This window comes from Homo sapiens, chromosome 9 (assembly GCF_000001405.40).
Source record: "Homo sapiens chromosome 9, GRCh38.p14 Primary Assembly".
NCBI lineage: Eukaryota > Metazoa > Chordata > Mammalia > Primates > Hominidae > Homo > Homo sapiens.
The window spans coordinates 4,299,237-4,320,765 of NC_000009.12; the positions used below are offsets into that span (position 1 = coordinate 4,299,237).

At 42.8% G+C, this 21,529-nt stretch overlaps 1 protein-coding gene and 1 long non-coding RNA gene across 16 annotated transcripts in view, besides 1 other annotated feature; one reads left to right on the top strand and one right to left on the bottom strand.

Annotated features, from left to right (window-relative positions):
- The window catches only part of GLIS3 (GLIS family zinc finger 3), a 666,339-nt gene that overhangs the window by 475,110 nt on the left and 169,700 nt on the right, over positions 1 to 21,529 (bottom strand). For 9 of the 15 annotated variants that reach the window (NM_001438912.1, NM_001438909.1, NM_001438908.1 and 6 more), the window contains exon 1: positions 185 to 832. The exons of 1 other annotated variant lie outside the window; for it this stretch is intronic. The gene's annotated coding sequence lies outside the window, so the exon portion shown is untranslated. Of the gene's footprint in view, positions 1 to 184; positions 833 to 11,164; positions 11,932 to 21,529 lie in introns of those variants that run through there. 5 more of the 15 variants (XR_007061257.1, XM_047422892.1, XM_047422891.1 and 2 more) reach the window with 3 other exon arrangements.
- Positions 65 to 10,658, top strand: GLIS3-AS2 (GLIS3 antisense RNA 2). Its single transcript, NR_186824.1, has 4 exons — positions 65 to 187; positions 6,020 to 6,156; positions 6,869 to 6,986; positions 10,507 to 10,658. It is a non-coding gene; the product is annotated as a GLIS3 antisense RNA 2 (long non-coding RNA).
- Positions 5,953 to 6,247: an enhancer, noted in NCBI's record as "tiled region #3194; HepG2 Activating DNase matched - State 8:EnhW". NCBI's record gives its function as "activates a minimal TATA promoter and a strong SV40 promoter by Sharpr-MPRA in HepG2 cells {active_cell/tissue: HepG2}" and the evidence as "EXISTENCE:reporter gene assay evidence [ECO:0000049][PMID:27701403]".

Consider the following 21,529-nt stretch of genomic DNA (forward strand, 5'->3'; position numbering starts at 1 on the left):
ACCTGTGACGCCGGGAGTTGAGGTGCGCGTATCCTTAAACCCGCGCGAACGCCACCGGCTCAGCGTAGAAAACTATTTGTAATCCCTAGTTTGCGTCTCTGAGCTTTAACTCCCCCACACTCTCAAGCGCCCGGTTTCTCCTCGTCTCTCGCCTGCGAGCAAAGTTCCTATGGCATCCACTTACCAGGTAACCGGGATTTCCACAACAAAGCCCGGCGTGCGGGTCCCTTCCCCCGGCCGGCCAGCGCGAGTGACAGCGGGCGGCCGGCGCTGGCGAGGAGTAACTTGGGGCTCCAGCCCTTCAGAGCGCTCCGCGGGCTGTGCCTCCTTCGGAAATGAAAACCCCCATCCAAACGGGGGGACGGAGCGCGGAAACCCGGCCCAAGTGCCGTGTGTGCGCGCGCGTCTGCGAGGGCAGCGGCGGCAGGGGGAGGAGGAGGCAGAGGCGGGGTGGCTGGACCCTCGGCATCAGCTCATTCTCCCCTGCTACACACATACACACACAAATAATGTTTCTAAAAAGTTCAGTTGCGACTTTGTGCCTCGCCTGTCCTGTTCATCCTCGTCCTGGGCCGGGGAATGCTTCTGGGGGCCGACCCCGGGATGCTGGCTAATTGCTGCCGGCGGGTTCCGTCGCCGGTGTGACCCTGGACGGCGCGGACGGCGTACAGGGGGTCCCGGGAGGGGCAGTGGCCGCGGCACTCGCCGCCGGTGCCCGTGCGCGCCGCGCTCTGGGCTGCCCGGGCGGCGCAGTGTGGACGCGGCTGCAGGGAGAGGGGAAGGGGGAAGAGGGAGGGAGGAAGGCAGCCGGGCGAGGAGTGTGGATGTGTGTGCGGCCGCGAGGGCCGGCCTGTAGCCAGCTGCTTCCTGAGTGTGAGCGCCGGAGGGGGAGGGGGAAGAGTGGGGGCGGGCTCGCGGGTCACTAGGCTGGCCAATTCGAAGGCCGAGCTTGTGTCTCCCTCTTGACGCATTCACACACACACACACACACACACACACACACACACACACTCCCCGTGCGCCAGAAGTCGAGGAACTCCAGAACAGGGTAACAGCAGGGAGACACTTCGCCTTCTTCCTGGCCTTATTTGTTAAACTGACTTATTTTAACATGAAAAAGTGTTAGTGTTTAGACAGGATTTGATGTCAGGTCATAAAAAAATAAACAAACAACCAAAAAAATCCGGTAGTAATACGGAGAGAATAACACAGTGAAAAATGGCAAAAGGGTTGCTTTGAAATATCGGATCGGATGCACATGACAGCTTCGAAACTGGATAGGTGAAGCACTAAGGAAGGCTTTGGCATCCTTTCCAAGTATAGGCAGGGAAGAGAGGAAGGTGATGGAAGTGTTAGAAGGGTATAAAATTCTGAACACAGGCTGTTAAGAATGGAGGTATATTCCCTGCGTATGTTACGTCTATAAAGTGGCACTTTATCCTTATGAATTCAACATCCTCAGCCTCATACCCCACCTAAGCTCTGACTCGCCACCGCTTCTGCTTGTGTTGACCAGAGCCCTCAAAAGGTTGTTACAAGAAAGTCTGCTCCTAGTAGTTCATCACATGTATTGCCACAGATGCAAGGACTTCCATCTTGGGAATCTAGGTATGTAATGCACACAATATCCTCCAGGTAGGCCTTTCTGCAGTTGACAGTATTATTCACCATCATGAATGAAATGAGTGAGGATGCCACCAGACACTTAGAATTTCACAAGTCCTTATATTCTATTCTACTGTTACCACTCCAATATAAATTAGCAATCAGGTAGTAGATGCTTTGATCAAGACAGAAGTCCTCAAGGACACAAATGACTTACCCCAGAAAGCCAAAACTAAAAGACTATTGGCAGTTTTCATTTATCTAATTTCAGTGGGAATACTACTAGGCTTGGTCTGTATCCATGATATTAACATAACCAAAAGAAGCCTGGTTTCCACAGTACTTTTTCTTTTCTTTTCCTTCACCTTGGGACACAAACTCATCAGAATATTTGTCAGCAGAAGTAGGGGATGAAAAATAGTAAGAGGTCAGGATATGTCATTCTGTCAGTTTTCCAGTTTCTCTCTGTTCATCTCTTTTAAATACAAGTATTCAAGCCCAAGATGGCAATAGATGGGCTCAACCACACGTAAGAAAAGAAAATACTCATAAAATGAAGCATGCAGCAACATCACAAAAACAAAGAAACCAAGTGGTGGAAATTGCCATGACTATTCCATTGTGGCTAGTTATTGCAACATGCCTGACATTCACATAAAAACTCTTCCTCATTAACTCCAGCCTTAAGGAACAGAGCAAGATGGCAACACTAACCCTTCAATGCATCATGGGAACTTCTGTTCATCAGATTCTTGTGCTGTACAACTGCTTCCCAGGAGCAAGACAAGCCTGGGTGGAGACTGCAAAAAACCTTTCCAATGTCCCTCAAATATCATTTTAAATACAATGGTTTTGATGCATAGAATGGTATCCTAGGGGCTTGCAGAAGCTTCTAAAACTTCCCAAATGATGGGAACAGCTTAGCTGGAAGAGAAAAAAATATAGTGCTACACCCAACTTTAATCAATAGCTCATGGAAAAAAACACTGGGAAAGTTAGGAGTCATCAACCTGGAGATCCCCAAAATCTCTTCATTTATAAGAGCCCAAGAGTGGGAATGTCATTTTATTTAGGTGTGATTTTCATGAACCTCTAACATTCCTAAAATATTTACCACTGAAGAGGTATAGTGCTTTGGTTGAATTTTTTTCTTTTTTTTTTTTTCTGGCCAAGAATGTAGATCTGCAATGTTCTTATATTCCATGGGTTATAGTAAAAATGCAGTTGTTCTTGTACCAGTACAACCCTGGAATGACTCAGAATGAGATCTGTACCTCTTCTGGGCTGAATTGGTCAGCAGGGGTGAGGGAGGGTGGTAATGAGAGACAGTGAGAAAGGAAATCATGTAGTTCCAAAATGATACTCTCCCTTACCCATGAGCTCTCCATCGTGCTTAGGAATCATACTCTGGCAGCCCTTCAGCCAGATAGGTGGGAACTGCAGCCCAGTCAGTATCTTCCCTCTCTAGAGACCAGTGTTGTATGTGCCTCAACCGCTGACTCAGGGCAGCTGACTCAGCAGACAGGCCCCTGCTGCCAGCTCCAGTCCAGTTCTCATTCATCAGAGAAATATTCAGTGAGTACACACTCTGTCCAAGTATTGGGACTAAAGGAATTAACACTTGTAGGCATTGTATATGGGAGGATATTACAGAAAACTTTTTGCCCAGTGTCTTAGTTGTAGCAAACCCTCAAGAAATGGGGACTCTTTGCATATATTACCTCATCTAATTCTCAAATCAAATGTATGATGTGGCTATGAATAATCTCCTACTTAGAAGCAAAGAAGTTGAAGCTCAGTAAACAGTTAAAGAGAGTCAGAGACAGAGCCAAGTATGCCAGTTTAGAAGCCCCAAGTTCAATCAACATTACTGTACTACAGAATAATTGTGCATGCTCTTTGAATGTGTATAAAACATATTGCAGGTGTATAAAGTGCAAAGCATCTTGTGGTCAGTGTTAGATGAGCACAATGAAGTTTGTAGGGAGTGTGGAGGAGGCAGGAATAATTTCCTGCAATGTGACATGGAGTAGCTTGGCTGTTTGAGCTGGACTTCAAAGAATGAGTAGAGAAGTGATAAGCAAAGGAGACCATTTCAAGTATAGGAATCAGCATCAAAAGGGGCACAGAAGGCATAAGTCCTGCATAGCAAGCAGCTCACTCAAAGCTAGAGTACAAAATAGGAACATCCACTGTCTCACAGCAATGAAACTCTCCCGAAGGAACATCCTGACAGCAAAACTTCAGAACTGCTATTTGAGTCACCCTGAGTGCTCTGACAGTAAACCACTTACAAACTTGCAAAGAACTATGATCAGATTCCTCCTCCCACAAAGTGTCCGTGAAAAGAAACAAATTTGAACCCCAAAATACAGATAAGTTGAGCTAATAGCACCAGTGATAGTATGCCTAGCTATTAAAACACAGACACACACACACACACACACACGAGCTGGCAACAGTCCAGTTACGTAGAAATGCAGTGGAAAAAGTTAGTGTTTGCCAACTTTAAGGGGGGAACTAAATGTGTAAAATGGAAAATTTCCATTTTACTTTCCTGAGTAGTACAAATAGTGGAATGCAGCAAATTTCACATTATGTTATCAGTGTGTGATATACTAAGAAAACTTAAGCTGATTTTTCTACTAATTTGTCACAAGTATGTTCAGCCCAAACTCTTCGGCTCACATACATGTCAGTGATGTAATTTTTTAAAAAATTCTTATTTACACATATCGCATTCACAACATCATACCTCTTTTCCTTTCTAAAGTCAAAACTGTAAATCAGAGTCTAAAATGTGTCAGACCAAATGCAACTGACCAAAATTTCAAATATTTCACTCCATACAATATCTCTCAATCTTGTCTAATTGGTGAAATGTTTCTTCCTTTTTTATACAAACCAAGCTGAGATGTATCTAAAATTCAGAGAAAGGTTGATGATGTATTCCTTGACATATTACTTAGGTATATCTACAAAGAGCTTACCATAACAAACATAAATTCATAGATAAATACAATATTCCGCAGGCAGCCAGTTATTCTTTCACCATTTAACATCTATACTGGCCAACTATATGTGATGTTGTAAAATTAATTATCTAATCACAATGCCATCTTATCTATAACTACCTTCTATAAATGCCTCTTAATGACCATAACTTACTTTTCTTCATATGCCTTTCATGGCCTAGCAATAGTACTGGGCACTAGTAAGTAACTAATGCTAATCTGATAAATGGATTAATTAATGAGAGAATGAAAGAATGGTTTCTTCACCTTCAGAGATGATAAATGACACAACTCATTGTTATGTATGTGTATAATCATTTCAGTGTTCCAAAAGAGACTAACAGATGCTCTTTGAATGTGTGCAAACCACACTGCAAGTATACAAAGTACAAGGCGTCTTGTTATCAATGTCAGATGAGCACAGTTAGTGTGTAGGGAGTGTGAAGGAGGCAGGAATAATTTCCTACAATGTGATATGAAGTAGCTTTCTGTACCCCTAGGCTTTTTATTATAAACTGAAGATTTAAATATTGCTTCCTATTTCTTGAGGAAGAAAATTCAAAGACTTTATGCAATGCTTAGAATAAGGAGGAGAGCCTGTCTGCGCCCTGCTCCAGTGACCCTCTCCTGTCTGACACCCACTACTAAACCAGGTCAGTTGCATCATACCCTGAATTCTAGCCTCAAAATAAAAATATATACTAAATAATGGGGAGAAAAGGGAAGAAAAGAAATGGAAAATAGGGAACGAGGGTGCAGAGAAGAAGGTGAATTATTTAAAAACTAGTGGAAATGAAGAAGGCAGCGCAGCACTGATACCTCAGAATAATTGAGAGCAACTAGTTAGTTTGGGGCAGAATTAAGCTCTGGAACAAAAGCAATTCAGTGGCTTTTCAGACTCCTCCCCAACTCACCTCAAGTCTTAAATATACCTGCAAAGGGGTTTGAAAAAACTTGGAGATTTTCCACAAATCCTAACTTCTTACGATGTTAAAAGCACTCAGGAGATTTTCACGTGTATACACATTTCTTTTCTTGTTTAACCCTATACAGCAGGGAAGAGTGTAATTTTATTGTCCATGGAACAAATGACCAATTGCCCCCAAAGCAGACCTGCCCCGGGTAAGAGTGTTGACTTCCTTCAGGCTGGGGACACTGCCCCAAGCTCATGATCTACATTTTTTTTCACTTCATTCTCACAACATCCGAATCAGGTAAGATCTAGCACAACTTCCATTTTACAGATGAGAAAAGAGAGGCAGAGAGAGGTGGAATATCTCCCCACTGTCACCCAACTCATGTGGGACTAGCCAAACTTCTACCTATTAACCATTGCTCTATTACCTTTTCAGGGCAGGAAACCCTACTTCCACCAGACATGTATTTGTTTATTCACTCAGGCAGGTGGTATGTTGGAAGAAGAGTGGACTTTGGAATCAGAAAACCTGGAATCCCAACTTCACCGCTAACCGAGAGACCTTGAGCTGGTTCCTAAACCACGGGGAACTTCAGTTCCACTACATGAGTTATTGCAAAGGTTGAATCGGAATTGTGACACTGGCCAGCACACGTGTGAAACCAGGGGCATCCCCTATTGATAAGGAGCCCAGCCCAAGAGCTTCAAGGGAAATTGACCCCAGCCCCAGCTCCACTGATGGGCTCGATGATTCAGAGAGGAATCTCACTCCCTTGGTCAAAGTGAATGGCTCATAAATCTGGGCCTAAGTCAATCCGTGCAAGACATTCCCCTGGCCATAGGGATTGGTTAAAAAATGGACATGTAACCCAGTTTGGGCTAAATGAGATGTGAACAGGAAAGTTATTTGATAGCTTCTGAGGAAGGTAGCTTCTCTTCTTTCTAGAGAGCCACTGGAAAGGTAGCCTTTTCTCCTCTGTGTTGTGGAGAGAAAAAAAAAGTGAAACTGTCTCCCTCTCAGCCCACACAGAAGGCTCACACTTGGTGAAGGGAAGGGTGGAGAAGATTACAGAGAATAGCCCTGATGGAACCACACCTGATTTCTACCTGACCTCTTAATTTTTTCATTTGTACAAGTCAGTAAATGCCTTTTAATTTTTAAACAAATAATTACAGCAACTTATAGAGGTACCTAAGGTATTAAGTTACCATCATGAATACAAAGATAAGCAAGACAAACTTCAAGGGGCTCACCACCTAATAAATATTATACTTTGCTTTTATGACATCATTTTAGTCTTTTTTGTTGTTTTTTGTTTTTGTTTCTAAATAGGATCTTGCTTTATCACCCAAACTGTAATGCAGTGGTGTGATCATAGCTCACTACAGCCCCGACCTCCTGGGCTCAAGTGATCCTCTTGCCTCAGCCTCCTAAGGAGCTGGGACTACAGGTGCGTGCCCAGCTAATTTCTTTTATTTTTGTAGAGGCAGGGGGGTCTCGCTATGTTGCCCAGGCTGTGGGTTTTTCAGGGTAAAGTTATGGCTCATTCTCTCTTCAGGACCCTGCTACCATTTGGTCAATTTAATATTATGCAAGAGAAATTCCATTTCCCTAGTAGTTACACAATGCCCGCTTTCAGACCAGCTAGTCAACCCTGTGAGGGTCAGATAGAGTAGTTTATCCATTTGGTTGTCAGACAACTGCCTCGAACAGCCAGGCCATTTCTACATGTTCTCAGTTACTGGTTAACAAATGTTGCCCCAGAATTCAGCACCTAATAGGAAATACATTCATTTCCAAATTCCTACTGAAATAGGATTTTTCTCATTCCTAGATAAAACAGAGGCACCCAGATTTTCCTGGAATGGCATTCAGAAATAGAGAAGGAATCATAGAGAAATGTCTGCCCAGGCATCTCTGAGTCTCATGCCTTTTTGCTGTTGCTGCTGTTATGACTCCTACCTTGGAAAGTTTCAGTCATCCTTGAACATCCTCCCCACCCCCATGCTTTCCTGTCTTCTGTTTCATAACTAAATGCCATTTAAAACTCTAGCTATAGATACCCCTTGCTGATATAAGCAACAGAAGTAGAGAGTCCTTAGATTCTAGACTGAATTTAGGGCCCAACAGTTAGACAATTGGAACTTGATAATAACGTTATCTCAGCAGATTGCGTAAGTCAGAAATGTTCTCCCTGTCACTGCTTTCTTTTTCCTTCCAGCAAGAAGTGGACATTAAGGAGAAAGTGAAGGTGGCAAGTTATGAGTGATCTGTTTAAGACACAGTTTAGTTATGGCAATGATAACAACTCACATTTATTAGGGGCTTATTATGTATCAGGCTGAGCAAAGTACGTAAGATTCTTGATCTCATTTAATTCTCACAGTGTAGAGGCTAATGAGTGGTGGAGGTGAGAGGAGGACGCAGCCTCCCTTGGCTCCAGGGCACACACTCTTAGCTGTAACACTCTATTGCCTCCATAAAGTATGCTTAATTGTAATACATGTTGATGAGATATGTGATAAACATAATTTATGTAAAATTTAAGAACAAGATCTATTGTATAAATTATACATGTAATGACCTGTTTATACGACGCTACCGTGATACTGAACTTCCTGTAGTTCCTCAAAGCCTGCTTTGCAAACCCTCCAGAGCCCCCAAGCCTGCTGTTTTATCTCCACAGGATGACCTTTACTATCCACCTCCTCTTACTCTGTGAGGCTTTCTCTGATAGGGAGAATAATGTCCCCCCGGCCCCGCCCTGCATCCCAACAAAAAAAAATCCACATCCTAACTCCTGGAACCTATGAATATGTTAGATTACATGGCAAAAAGGACTTAAGGCTGTGGATGGCATTAAGGTTGCTAATTAGTTGCCCTTAAAGTAGGGAGACTATCCTGGACTGTGGAAGTGAGCCCTGGATTATGAATGTGATAGGGAAGCAGAAGCATAGAGAAACTATGTTACCAGGTTTGAAGGTGCAGGAAGGAGCTATTAACCAAGGAATATGGGCAGCTCTAGAAGCTGGAAAAGCAATGGAATAATTCCTTCCTAGAGCCTCCAGAAAGGCACACAGCCCTGCCACACCTTGATCTTAGACCAAGGAAACCTGTGTCAGACTTCTATCCTACAAAACTGTAAGATAGAATTGCGGGTTGTTTAGGGTGCTATTTAGGGTAACTTGTGACAGCAGCAACAGAAAAGTAATGCACTTTCTCAACTTTCCTCTCTCCCTTCTCCCCCAGAACCAAACACTGCTGGCTCTGGGCTCTCACAGAACACTGTCCTTACAGTATTTAATGCTCTTGATACTATCTGGGGCCTGGCCACGTGCATCCCATCCTTCCCTTAGCTTCTCCAGGAGCATTGTGGCTTGGTGTCACGACCTATCTGAAAGCCTTAACCCTGCCACCACCCACTTTCTGCTGGAAGGACAGGCACTGTGAAGTGAAAGGACCCACAGCCCATGAACTGGAAGGAACAGGAAGGGCAGGAGAAAGAAGAAATAAGAGGAGAGCAGCAGGGGGATGCAGGGAGGAGGAGGATAAAGGGGTTACCAGAGGAGAGGAGGTGAGAAAACAGAGGGAAGGAATGAAGGAGGAAGACAGGGTCAAAGAAGAGGAGAAGGAAGGAAGGGCGCTGGAGGAGGACACAGAAGCTAGGGTGGCAACGAAGAGGAGAAGGGAGAATGAAGAGAAAGGACCTTGTTCTGCCCCCACCCATCTCCCACCTGAACACCCTCTCCTCCCTCCTCCCTGAGATCTCCCCCAGCCTTGAGGATCCAGTCCTAGTGCCTCTTCCTTGCAGTGGCTCTCAGTGCTGGGTTCTCCTTAGAATACCCAGGGAAACTTGCCAGGCCCCACCCCCCAGAGATTCTGACTTAATCAGCCTGGATGGGATCTAGGCATCAGGACTCTTTATAAGCTTCCTAGGAGACTTTAATGGGCAGCCAGGGTGAAGAACCATTGTCATAAAGCCCTCTTTGATCTCTTTGTCTCACCTGGGATGGCTCCTACAGTCAAACTCAAAGCCCTTGTCTAGGTCTCACACTTGGCAGCTGGAGAGGCTGAATTGAGACAATTTTAGAACCCAGACCCCAGAGCCAAACTGCTGGGATTTAGTCCTGGCTCCACATTTAATAGCTGAGCAACTTTAGGGTAGTCACTTAAGCTCTTTGTGCCTGTCTCTCTATCTGCAAAAGGAGAATGAATATAGTCAGGTATTTGCCTCACAGCATTGTTTTGGAGACTGAGTTAATATTTGTTAAGTGCTTAGAACAGTGGCTACCACACATAATGTATGATAAAAGCATTTTTTAAGATAAAACAGAATCAGCCTGCATCATCTCCGAATTGTTACTCTATCTTGTCAAGCTGTTCAACCTTTTGTGTATATGCCCGTGCCTCGTTTACAACTGCACTCTCCTGTCATTCCCTCCAGCCAAAGCCATTGCTGTCTACATAATAGGCACTCAATAGTCTGTTAAGTGAACAAAGAAAAAGCAAGAAATAATTCAAAAATATATATAACCTGTCATTAAAATTAAGACTTGGCTGTAAGTTAATACTTTTTTAAAAAACAAGTCATTTAAACAATTTCCACTTATGAACAAAGGTCTTAAGCAGTGGTTGGGGCGGGGGGAGCACAGTATAAGTAACAGGAATTGTGTGGCATAAGGAAGAGTCCTGAGTGGGTTCTCAAATTGGACAATTCTGACAGGTTACAGAAGGTCATAAAATAGGCTGAAAAAAGGAGAGGGGTGGAGGTTATGAAAAAATACCCAGGTCAGAGGAATAAAAGGCCACAAAAGGCAAACTTACTACTTTATAATTGTGCCTAAGTCAGGCCCAGTCTACATTTCTATTTTGATGACTGATTTACATACACACTCATATACATTTTAACTCTGAAAGTAGAAGTTCCATATGTGTTTTATTTACTCTCATTTATTTTTTATCTTTACCAGTTGGCCTATTTTTTTTTTCTTCACATGACATCAGGAGATCATCATTGCAACAAGCAACTCAGCTTAGAAGCGCTGGGATAACTCCGAAAGAGACATGTGAGACAAGATGTAGAACTTTGTATTAGAGTACAATAAAATTTATAATGCACAAATTTGGCGGCCAAAAGATTTCTCTCAAAGGTATGAAAAAAATGTCTGTGCTATATTTTCAAAGAAACCAAATAAGACATGGTCCCTGAATCACTGTCTGAACGCAAACAGCATTTGGCTTTGATCTGAGTTGTTGAAAACTATGACCAATTTATCCTGAGGATGCCAAACCATCAGAGAATGTTTTTAAGTCTGGATTTCCATATCAGGATTCTGCTACACACTTTTTCTCTTCATTTCACATTACACAGGGCCAACCCAAAATAGTACTTCCAACAATGGATGTAGTTGGTATGATAATTTCACATCTAGCTATGGGCAAGGGGTAGATGGGCCTTTTTCTTACTGACATGCTCATGTGGCCCAGGAAATATATATAAAAATATAATTGAACAGTAAATGAAATTATTAGGTATAATCCCTCTTCTATACTGTATTGATAGACTTCTTAGGCAAACTCAGCCAGTTTCCGAGTGAATGGGGGATAAAGAAAATTTCAGAAACTCACTTGTCTAGCAAACGTGCCCCATTGTGCCTCTCCAATCTGCCCGAGCCACACCTGCTGCCGGCCTTCTTCCTGCTCTCCACCTGGTCCAAGAAGAGTCACTGCCGATTTTTTGAATTTCATTTGCAAACCTAAACCCCAAATACATCCATTAGTTTCAGTGCCGAATCACATTTGCAGTGCCCCTCCCTGCCTCCAAAGCTAAACTATATGTGTCTGAAGGTGCAGACACGGGGGGAACAGATCCAGCCCCATGAGGACACACACCAGCCATCTTGCAAGCATGTGTGACACCAAGGACCTCCTACAATGAGCCAATCACCCAGGATTACCCGCTCTTGGGTCTTAGGAGGATTTTTTGGGAAGGTGATGAGGACTTGATCAGCACATACAGTCTCTGAAGCACTTTCCACTCTGCCCACATCCTTCTGAAATAAGTAAATGGGGGTGGTGATGTTGATGTTTTACACTTCTCTACATTTTAGGGCATCTAAATCACCCAAAGGTAGGTCTTTGTCTAAAATCGTAGTCTGAAGCTAGAGATTTGGACCCATTCTGCATTCAGGGTGCATCTTCAGATTTCAATACAGACAAGGTGTACAGGATTTGGAGGGCAGTGGGCAACTTCTAAGGATGGGGACTTTATAGAAGTGCCTAATCCGAAAGCCAGAGTGTCTTCGCAGGAGTTCTTAATGCTAAGGAGTCTGTGGATAGAAGTGTATACCTTTTGGCCAGGCGCGGTGGCTGATGCCTGTAATCCCAACACTTTGGGAGGCTGAGGCAGGCGGATCACTTGAGCCCCGGAGTTCAAGACCAGCCTGGCCAACATGGCGAAACCCCGTCTCTACTAAAAATACAAAAATTATCCGGGCGTGGTGGCACATGCCTGTAATCCCAGCAACTTGGGAGGCTGAGGCAAAAGAATCACTTGAGCTGGAGAGGTGGAGGTTGCAGTGAGTTGAGATAGCACCACTACACTCCAGCCTAGGTGACAGAGCAAGACTCTGTCTCAAAAAAGTAACTAAATAAAGTGTTTAGCTTTTGTAATCCCATGTATTTCATTTTAGACCTTACTCTGAGAAGCAGTCCACAAGCTTCACCAGACTCCCAGAGAAATCCATTACACAATAAGTTTCCGACCCCTGCAACTGTCAGGGCCCACTCTCCCTCCCTCCCAAGCCAGAATAACTCCACACTCCCCAGCTCCTACCCCTACCCTGACTTCCACCATCTGTCTTCCCCAACAGCAACATGGTGGCCCTGACCCTCCTGCATCGGCCTTATCACCGCCCTCCTCTTTTAGAGCCACCTCCCCTGCCTTCTATAAAACACTGTCTTGTCCTGGGAGTTTGAGTTGTATGTTTAAAGACTGTCAGCAGTGGTCGTCTGACAGGAGCAGGGAAAGTGGTTAGGTGACAGGAATTCAGTTAGATGATGTCTTCATTTTTAGAGTAAGCCCATTTTACTTAAATGATCAAGAAAACAGAAAAGATCCTTTAAAAATCTATTCTTCTTGGAAGTGGAAACTACATGATGAGGACACGTGGACACAGAGAGAAGAACTACAGACAGTGGGGTCCACCCAATGGTGGAGAGTGGGAGGAGGAAGAGGAGCAGAGAAAAATAACTACTGGGTACGAGGCTTAGAATCTGGGTCACAAAACAATTTGTACAACAAACCCGCATGACATGAGTTTACCTGTATAACAAACCTACACATGTACCTCTGAACCTAAAATAAAAGTTTTTGTTTTTGTTTTTGTTTTTTTAAAAGAAAGAAACTTTACAGGCTGGGCATGGTGACTCACGCCTGTAATCCCAGCATTTTGGGAGGCCAAGGCTGGCGGATCACTTGAGGTCAGGAGTTCAAGACCATCCTGGCCAACATGGCAAAACCCCATCTCTACTAAAAATACAAAGAAGAGCCAGGCATGGTGGTGCACACCTGTAATCCCAGCTACTGGGGAGGCTGGGGTAGGAGAATCACTTGAACCAGGGAGTGGGAGGTTGCAGTAAGCTGAGATGGCACCACTTCACTCCAGCCTGGGTGACAGAGTGAGACTTTGTCTCAAAAAGAAAAAAACTTTCCAGTTGTACACATAAACAGGCACCCATATGAGCATGCATGTACATACATGCCAATTTTGCCAATAAATTATGTACAGTATAGTTATACATATGAAAAACAAATCTGCTCTTCCTCCCAGTTTCTTCTTGATTGCACTTGCATTCCTTGTCTTCCTCTCTTCACCTGACTATGCTGTTACCTTAGGCCTTTTCTATCCTTTCCCTCTCTGTTTTATGGCTCTGCTCACTTCGTTGTGGCTTAGTGGAACTGAAGGAGGCCTTGGGGCTGGTGGAGCTGGGTATGCCAGCCCTGAGGGCTGTGTCTTCAGCCAGATCATTTAATCTCTGCTCCTCAGTTTACTCATCCATAGGAAAAGCTAACATTTTTCAGGTGCTTACTCAGGCCAGGCATGTTACATATATTAGTTCATTTAATCCTCACAGTAACACTACGAGGTTGGTAACGTTAGCCCCACATGCACACACTGAGGTACAGAAAAATTAAATCACCTCCCCAGGATACACAATGACAGTAGCTCCTCTACTTTTTCCAGTCTTGTGGCTTCAGAGTCTGTCCTTTTAGCACTATGCTATGCTGTTTCTTTGGGGAAGACAAAAAAGCCTCAAACTGAATTCCACATACCTGTGTAACAGTACTCTTTTGTTGATTAGAGATAACATGGGAGGTGGAGGTTGGACATACAGAATGCCTGGCACATAGTAGGTGTAGCTGTCATCAAACTCCTCTAATGAGTGTCACCCTAAGCTTCCTCCGCACAGCTCCATTAACTCTGGCAAGTGTGTCTGCCTCCATAGCCCACAGGGATCTTAGTTTGAGCAGCTGTCTTCTTTCTCAGCCATTGCTGCTCCCTCTTCAGCCATTCTGCTCACTGTGCCACCTCCCCCTCTCCATCTCACCTTCCCTGCTTTCTGGATGTTTCTGGCATCAGCTTCCATTTTTCAGAACCCGTCTCCTCCCACCACCCAACTTGAGGTCCTCAGTTCTCTCAGCCAGACCATTTCTCTAACCTCCGCGTGGCTCCATTGGCCTCCAGTCTCTCCCCACACAAATTTGGCTGACAGGCAGTTGTCAGATTAATGGTCCTGGATGTGACTCCTTGATCTTGGACCTTGATTTTTCTCTCTGGCAGTATCCCCTGCCCAATACTCTGTTCTTGAGTCAAAATGGACTAGTTACTAGAGTCTCCAAACACACCTTGAGTTTTACCTCTGCTGAGATGCCCTTCCTGGACCAGTCTCCCACCTTAAGATCAAGTTCCAATGCCACCTCCTCCCGCAGCCTTCCCTGGGAGTCTCAAGTGCACGTGGACTTCCTCTCCCTTGCATTTTCCACTGGGTGTGTGTTGCAGGAGGTAGGTGATCAGCGTGCATGGTCTTTTACACCTCTATCTGATTTACAAGGTCTTACACAGGCTTGGGCCTCAATATTTGTTAAAAATATAAATGTGTAAATGGGAAAAACTGAAGTCCAGAAAGAGTCACTGACAAAATCAATAAATCAGGTAGTTGAGAGATGGCGTTACATAAAAATGTAGTTAGCCATATTGCCTGAGTTTAAGCCAACTCTAGCGTTTATTAGCTGGTGTGACCCGGGGCAAGTAACTTAACCTTTGTGTGCCTCAGTTTTCTCAGCAGCAATGTGGGAATAGTAATAGTACTTATCTCATAGGATGGTCATGAGGATTAAGTGAATTAATATTTATAAAATGTGTGAAATGATACTTAATACATTGTAAGCACTCAAATGTGAGCTGGTGTTGTTTTTTATTAATGGCAGGATCAGAATTAGAATCAAGAACCCTTGACTTCCAGTCCAGTGCTCTTTCTCCCAGGCTGCATGTCTTGGCACTGTGTAGCTACCTGCCACCCAATGCTCTCTGTTTCCTCAGTGTCCTTACTCTTTGTTCAACTTCCCCACTCCATGCAAAAAAAGATGCATGCACACAATATGTTTGCATGTGCATATACAATGAAGTCAATAGGTAAATACTGCTTTTTCCATTTAAGGCAGTCTAGAACTTTGATGATGCTATGTGGTCTTCAGGCAAAAAAGAAAGAAAGTAAGGGATCTTCTGTCACTCACAGTGCAGGGTAAACCTCTACTAAGAAAAGAGACAGCTACGGAATCTTTCATATCTTCTCTAGTTCCAAGATGCTTCCACTAGCAGTTTCTGAAAAGCCACCATGAGAGGTTCAGAACTCACATGAAAAAGAACACTGATTTTTCTGGAGCCAGGCAGAACTGGGTTTAGATTTCAGCTTTCTCATTCATTAGCTCTGGGATTTTGGGCAAGTTCCTTTAACCTCTGTCCCTGAGCCTTCATAGGGCTGTAGGGAGAATGGATGAACCAATCTGCAAAAGGCATTAAGCTCAGGGCCGGGCACCCAGCGAACCCTGCTGTTAGCTCTATTCCTTTGGGATGAATAGTGCTGGAACTCTCAGGGATTCAGAGCTGCTGAGGGTGAAAATGGGAAGCCCCGAAAGCCAGTTTGCCAAGACCATAGCTTGTGAAGCCATTCTATAGCTACTGAAGAAATATTTCCTCTCTTCCCTTGTGGTCCTTCCACTCTCTCCTGCTCTTCTGTGTACTGACTCAACCAGAGTGTCTTTTCTCGGAGATACAACTCCCACCAAAGAGAAGAGAAAGAGTCTAATTTTGGATCTCAGTTAATTTGGGAAGTGGCCTTTCTCACACTTAAAATCATGTGTCCCAGATGCATTTCCTAGTGGAAGAAACAAATCTCGTCATCTTGTCAGTCTCTAGTGCACTTTTCAAGCTGACCCAACATGATGTTGAGAGGACAAGTGATCATGCCTATCTCCTACACAAGAAGCCTGAGACTGAATGGTTTGCCGGGAGACTCTGGGGTCCTTATTGTTAGTATTTCAAGGCCTGCTCACTCAGTCCATGTTCTAAAACTCTATATGCAATGACAATTTTCTGTATGCTCTCCATTTAATAATAAGTTTAAAGTTTTATTTTTAAATAAAATGAACCTCTATTTTTTAAAGCCTTTAAATTGATTCAAACCCTTCTAAAACAGAGTTAATTCCTAAACTTCACCCTCTGCCGCCTACATGCCTTAGAAATAGAGTTTTCCATGGAAAACTCTTTTCATGGAAGACATACACTCAGAACACCTCACTTTGTGTGGCTACATTCTCATGAACTTTCCTGCAAAACACAGTGGGGACTGGAGACAACCTCCCTGGGTCTTTTGGGGCCAGCCTCTCTTGAGATACTGCTCTTAACCAAACCCAAGAGGGAGGTTCCTGGAAGGAGAAAGAGTGACTTGGGCCGTCAGTAGGTGGCGCCCGTTCCCCAGCATTAGCCCTGACCCTAGCTCAGCAGTACCAGGACATGTTCTTCCAGGTATGGGGTTCTAGAATGCAGGCCTCTTAGAGCAGATATCTCGTATTACCTCTTGGGATGCTGTTGCCCTGAAACACCAAGTTGTTCACAAAACTCTGCTACTCTAAATTTTAGAAAGGAAGCAGGATATTACATATTGTATTTTTAAAAGAAAACACATATTTATCTGGGATGATCACAATGGAAATTTTAAATACATGCATATCTATGTATGTATGTATATGCTATTCCCCTTTATGAAGCATACATCACACCAACACACCTCTCCTAATGCCACTGTCAGTCTATCCTCAACAAAAAAGATTTCTCCACCTTTTTCTGGTTTTGGAAGAGAGGTTAGGATTCCTACAAGCTAAATTGTAAAGAATAATCATTAAACTCATCTAGCTACCTTTGCAAATCCAGTGACTGCTCACATAACCCCTTCACAGATTCTCCCATAAGGTCCCACAACTTGTTTTGCATTTAAAATACATATTCATTTTTTGTGGGTCCTTAACTGGACTGACTTTATTGCAAGTCAACAGATATTTTAGCAGCTCCTACTCCTTGCTAGGGACAGAGTAGTACAGCAGGTCCTTAAATATCATCATTTCATTCAACATCATTTTGTGATAACATTGATGAGAAAAACAAAATCAGTTCCTGGCCAGATTCACTGTGTGGAGTGTACATGTTCTCTACATGTCTATGTGGGTTTTCTCTGGGTACTCCGGTTTCCACCCATACCCCAAAGTGTGCATGCTAGGTGAATCAGCATGTCTAAATGGTCCCAGTGTGAGTAAGCGTAGGCATGTGTGTGAGTGTGCCCTGAGATGGGACGGCAGCCTGCCCAGAGTTGGTTCCTGCCTTGCCCCCTGAGCTGCTGGGATAAGCTTCGACCATCTGCAACCCTGAACTGGAATAAGCTGGTACATAATTATCTTAGTTATTTTTATTAATCTTTTAAAAATGTATGCATAGCTCAAATTTATTTCCGTGTTTAATATGAGAAGTGTTGGTGATCTTTATTTAGAAGAAGTTTTTGTGACCAGAAAAACCATCATAGGAACTTAACTCTTGTTTATATCCATTAGCCGTTGGTAAAATTGGTTTTTTAATATGTTTTGCTTAAAGTCACAGTGTCTAAGAACCTATTGACAATGTTAAGTGAAGACTTGCTGTCCCTTCAAGGAGATTAATCTAGTTGAAAGATGAGGATGCTTGAGCAGGGCACTTAGAGTAAAGAAAAGATGGTCTTTGATATCCTATTGGCTAAGAAAAAGAAAGAATGTATTCAGTGCCTTTCGACTGCAAGGTTAAGCTCAAAATATATTCTTGCATACTTTAAGTACCGGTCTTTACATCAGAAATGAGGTGGAGATCAAGTTCTCTTGTACTTAGCCTGTGACCCAAGCTGCCATCATCAATCCTTAGCACAGCCTTTCCTTACCCATGCACTGGCTTCTCAGTGAAATCTTCCAGAGAGTTTTTTACAGTACTGATGCCTACCCTAAAGATTCCGATTTAATCACTGTGGGATGCAGCCTCCACACACATTTCCCGAGACATTCTTCTTGCAGCCACACTTGAGAACCACTGCTTTAAAGGCATTTGTAATTGGTATGTCTTTAGGAAGCAGATGTCTTTTTAAAAATATCAGTCTAAAGAAGACACAAAATCCCTATGAAATAACAATGGCAAAAAATGCTAAAGTGAGTATAAAACATTTTAGATTACGTATTGCTTACGATTATTCATCCTTTTATATGATACCTATTTTCATTAGTCATAGATTCTAAATGTATCTTTTTTAAAAATCAGCAGGTTGATCACAAAGGTGGTCTACAGAAAAAATTAAGAGAAAGAAAATGAGCAGGCATTATTCAAGTTCCTACTATGTGAAACATTCATGAAGCTCAGAATTTATTTACTGTTCATTTTGTCTGGGACCTAAAGAATTCAAACCATTGAGAGTGAATGAAGTAGCACATGTAAAAGAGTACTCTGTAAACTTTAAGCTGCCAAGCAGATGGAAGTTATTATCAATAACCTTCTTCAGCCTTACTCAAGCCAAGGGAATTGTTCCTTGTATGATTGATGATAAATAATATTAAAAAAGCACATCTACATGGTAAAATCTCTGTGAAGATAGACTTAGAAAGAACATGTGTATAATGTCAGAAAAGCAACTAGAAAAATTATAGAAACTGAGGAATGTCAAAGTAAGTTATTTCAGCAGCTGGGAAAGGAGGAAGCATGCTTTAAAATGCATGCTTTGAACAAATGTATTGGTATTCTTGGGAGCCAGGGTCTTGCTGCGGGAGAAGTGGTGGGTGGAAGGCAGTTACAATGATGGAAAGTGGGGAGGTAAGGAAGAGTTATCTGGTGTTTGATGGGAATTCGAGGGGCCAGGATGAACCCACAAATTTAAAGAAATGTATATCTCCCAGTTCTGTTCACTGAAAGCACCTAGAATCAATGACATCTCAGTAGTCGTGAGCACACCTAGGGCCCAGAGTTTCGTTTCTGAATACATCCCTCACTAAAAGGAAGCACGGAGAAATGGCTGATTCCAGGACTAGGGCAGGGAAAGTACAAAGCGAGCCGTAAGCATCTTGTGACAGAACGTAAACCCTCAAAAATATAAGGGGCAGTGTCAAAATAACATAGGAGCCAGCTTGAAAGAGCTCCCTCTGGCCAATTATGGGCAATTTTAGCTTCAAAATAACAACAATAAGTTATAAAACATTGGCAGCAAAAAGAGTCCAGATGTTCACACAGAGATAAAAAAATATATAAATAAGTAAATAATGGGGAAGAGAAACCTCTTTTTTACAGTGAAATACTAACAAACATAGAAGAAATGTTTGTTTTAAAAATCACAAACTTGCAGCCTCTGCAGTAATAACAGATGAAGATGACAGTCTTCAAAAGATGCTAAAACTATTAGGTGAAAGTTTGTTGGTGAACAGGATATTTTCAGAGCCTCAAAATATCTCCCCACAGATTACTTGCTGATTGCAAAGGGGGGAAGTTCCTGTACAGTGGGTTCATCAAAGTGACATCATGTGCCTCCCGGAGTGAGCTGCTGAGGACACAACAGTATTTACATGGTATTCCTGCCAAAAATGCACAACCTGAATCTAATCATAAGGAAATGATCAAGCACTCAATTGGAGGGGCATTCTGTAAAACAGCTGGCCTGTACTCTTCAAAAATGTCAATGTCATGAAAGACATGAGGAACCATTCTAGGGTAAAGGAGACAAAATATACATGACAACAAAATGAAATGAGTGATCTCAGCTGGATTCTGAATGAGAAAAAAATCACAAAATTGAATATTAATTGTATATTAGGTAATGGTATTGCATTAATCCTGAATTTGATCATCATACTGTGGTTATGTTAGAAAATATCACTGTACTTAGGGGCAACATTCTAAAATTTTATGGCCATTATATCCATAGCTCCCTCTCAAATGATCCAGATGGGGGAGCAGGAAGAAACAGAACTCAAATGTGGCAAAATGTTAACAACTGGTGAATCTGGGTGAAGGTACATGGAAGCTCATTATTCTATTCTTGCAACTTTTCTGAGAACTTGACGTTTTTCTAAGAAATGATTTTAAACATTTTTAAATGTTTTAAAATTTATTGTGTAATGTGTTTTGGTAAAATCCAAATACTAACACTTTTTTTTTTCTAGAAACAGGTTCTTCCTCTGTCACCAAGGCTGGAATGCAGTGGCATGATCATAGCTCACTGTCACCTCAAACTCCTGGGCTCAAGTGATCCTCCTGCCTCACCCTCCCAGGTAGCTAGGACTATAGGTGTTTGCCACCACGCCTGGCTAATTTTATTTTGGGAGGTAGAGACAGGGTCTCACTATGTTGCCCAGGATGGTTTTGAACTCTGCCCTCAAGCTATCCTCCCACCTCAGTCTCCTACTAGTACCTCTTAAAATGTTATCACAAAATTTCTACCCCAATAACGTTATTGAAATATACTTGATCAGTAATATGAGTAAACTAATATTAATGAATGATTTAGAACCAGAATTCTAATCTGTCTACGCATGGCTCACAGATTTGTTTTGTTCGGCCTATAGAATTGGTCCTTACAGTAGGTTAGTAGAGGGGGTTGTGTGTGTGTGTGTGTGTGTGTGTGTGTGTGTGTGTGTGTGCGCGCGCACAAGAGTCAAATTAGTTGCTAAGTAAGAAACATAAAAATCATGATTTTCAGCTTCTTTTGAAAAATCAAAAGCTGGCAACATTTGACTTCCCAATGGGCGTATCTGAGTCACAGCCACCCCACTTTTGACATGTCATGTTTTTTATAGGTCAACAAATTCCCTTCCATTCTGAATGTCTCTGAATGTCTCCCTGACCCTGCATGCTTCATTCACTCCAGTTGCCTGACTAGCCCCTAAAAGAATTTGAGTTTGTGAGCTGACTTTTGGATAATAAAGAATAAACAGGAAAGTAAGACCATCACCTCTGGAAGGGAGTTGAGAAGGAGGTGGGACTGAAAAGGCATCTTCAGTTCACCATGCCTCAAACTGAACTCTTACTTTCCCCTTCCTGACCCATCCCCACTTTATTGCCAAGCCAGAAACTTAGGGATTTATCCTTCACACCTTTCTCTCTGTCAATACATCTATCAAATCTATTTCTAAATTCTGTAGATTTTACTTCTTAAATATTCTCAAATCTGTCTGTTTCTCTCTATTTCCAACACAAAACCCATCATCATCACCAGCACTACCAATACCACCATTACCACCTACACCATCACCATCATTACTGTTGCCACCATCACTACCTCCATCATCACCACCGCCATCACCACATCACCACTACTACTATCTCTACTATCACTGCCAGCACCCCGGGAACCATCACCATCATTATCACTGCTATTGGT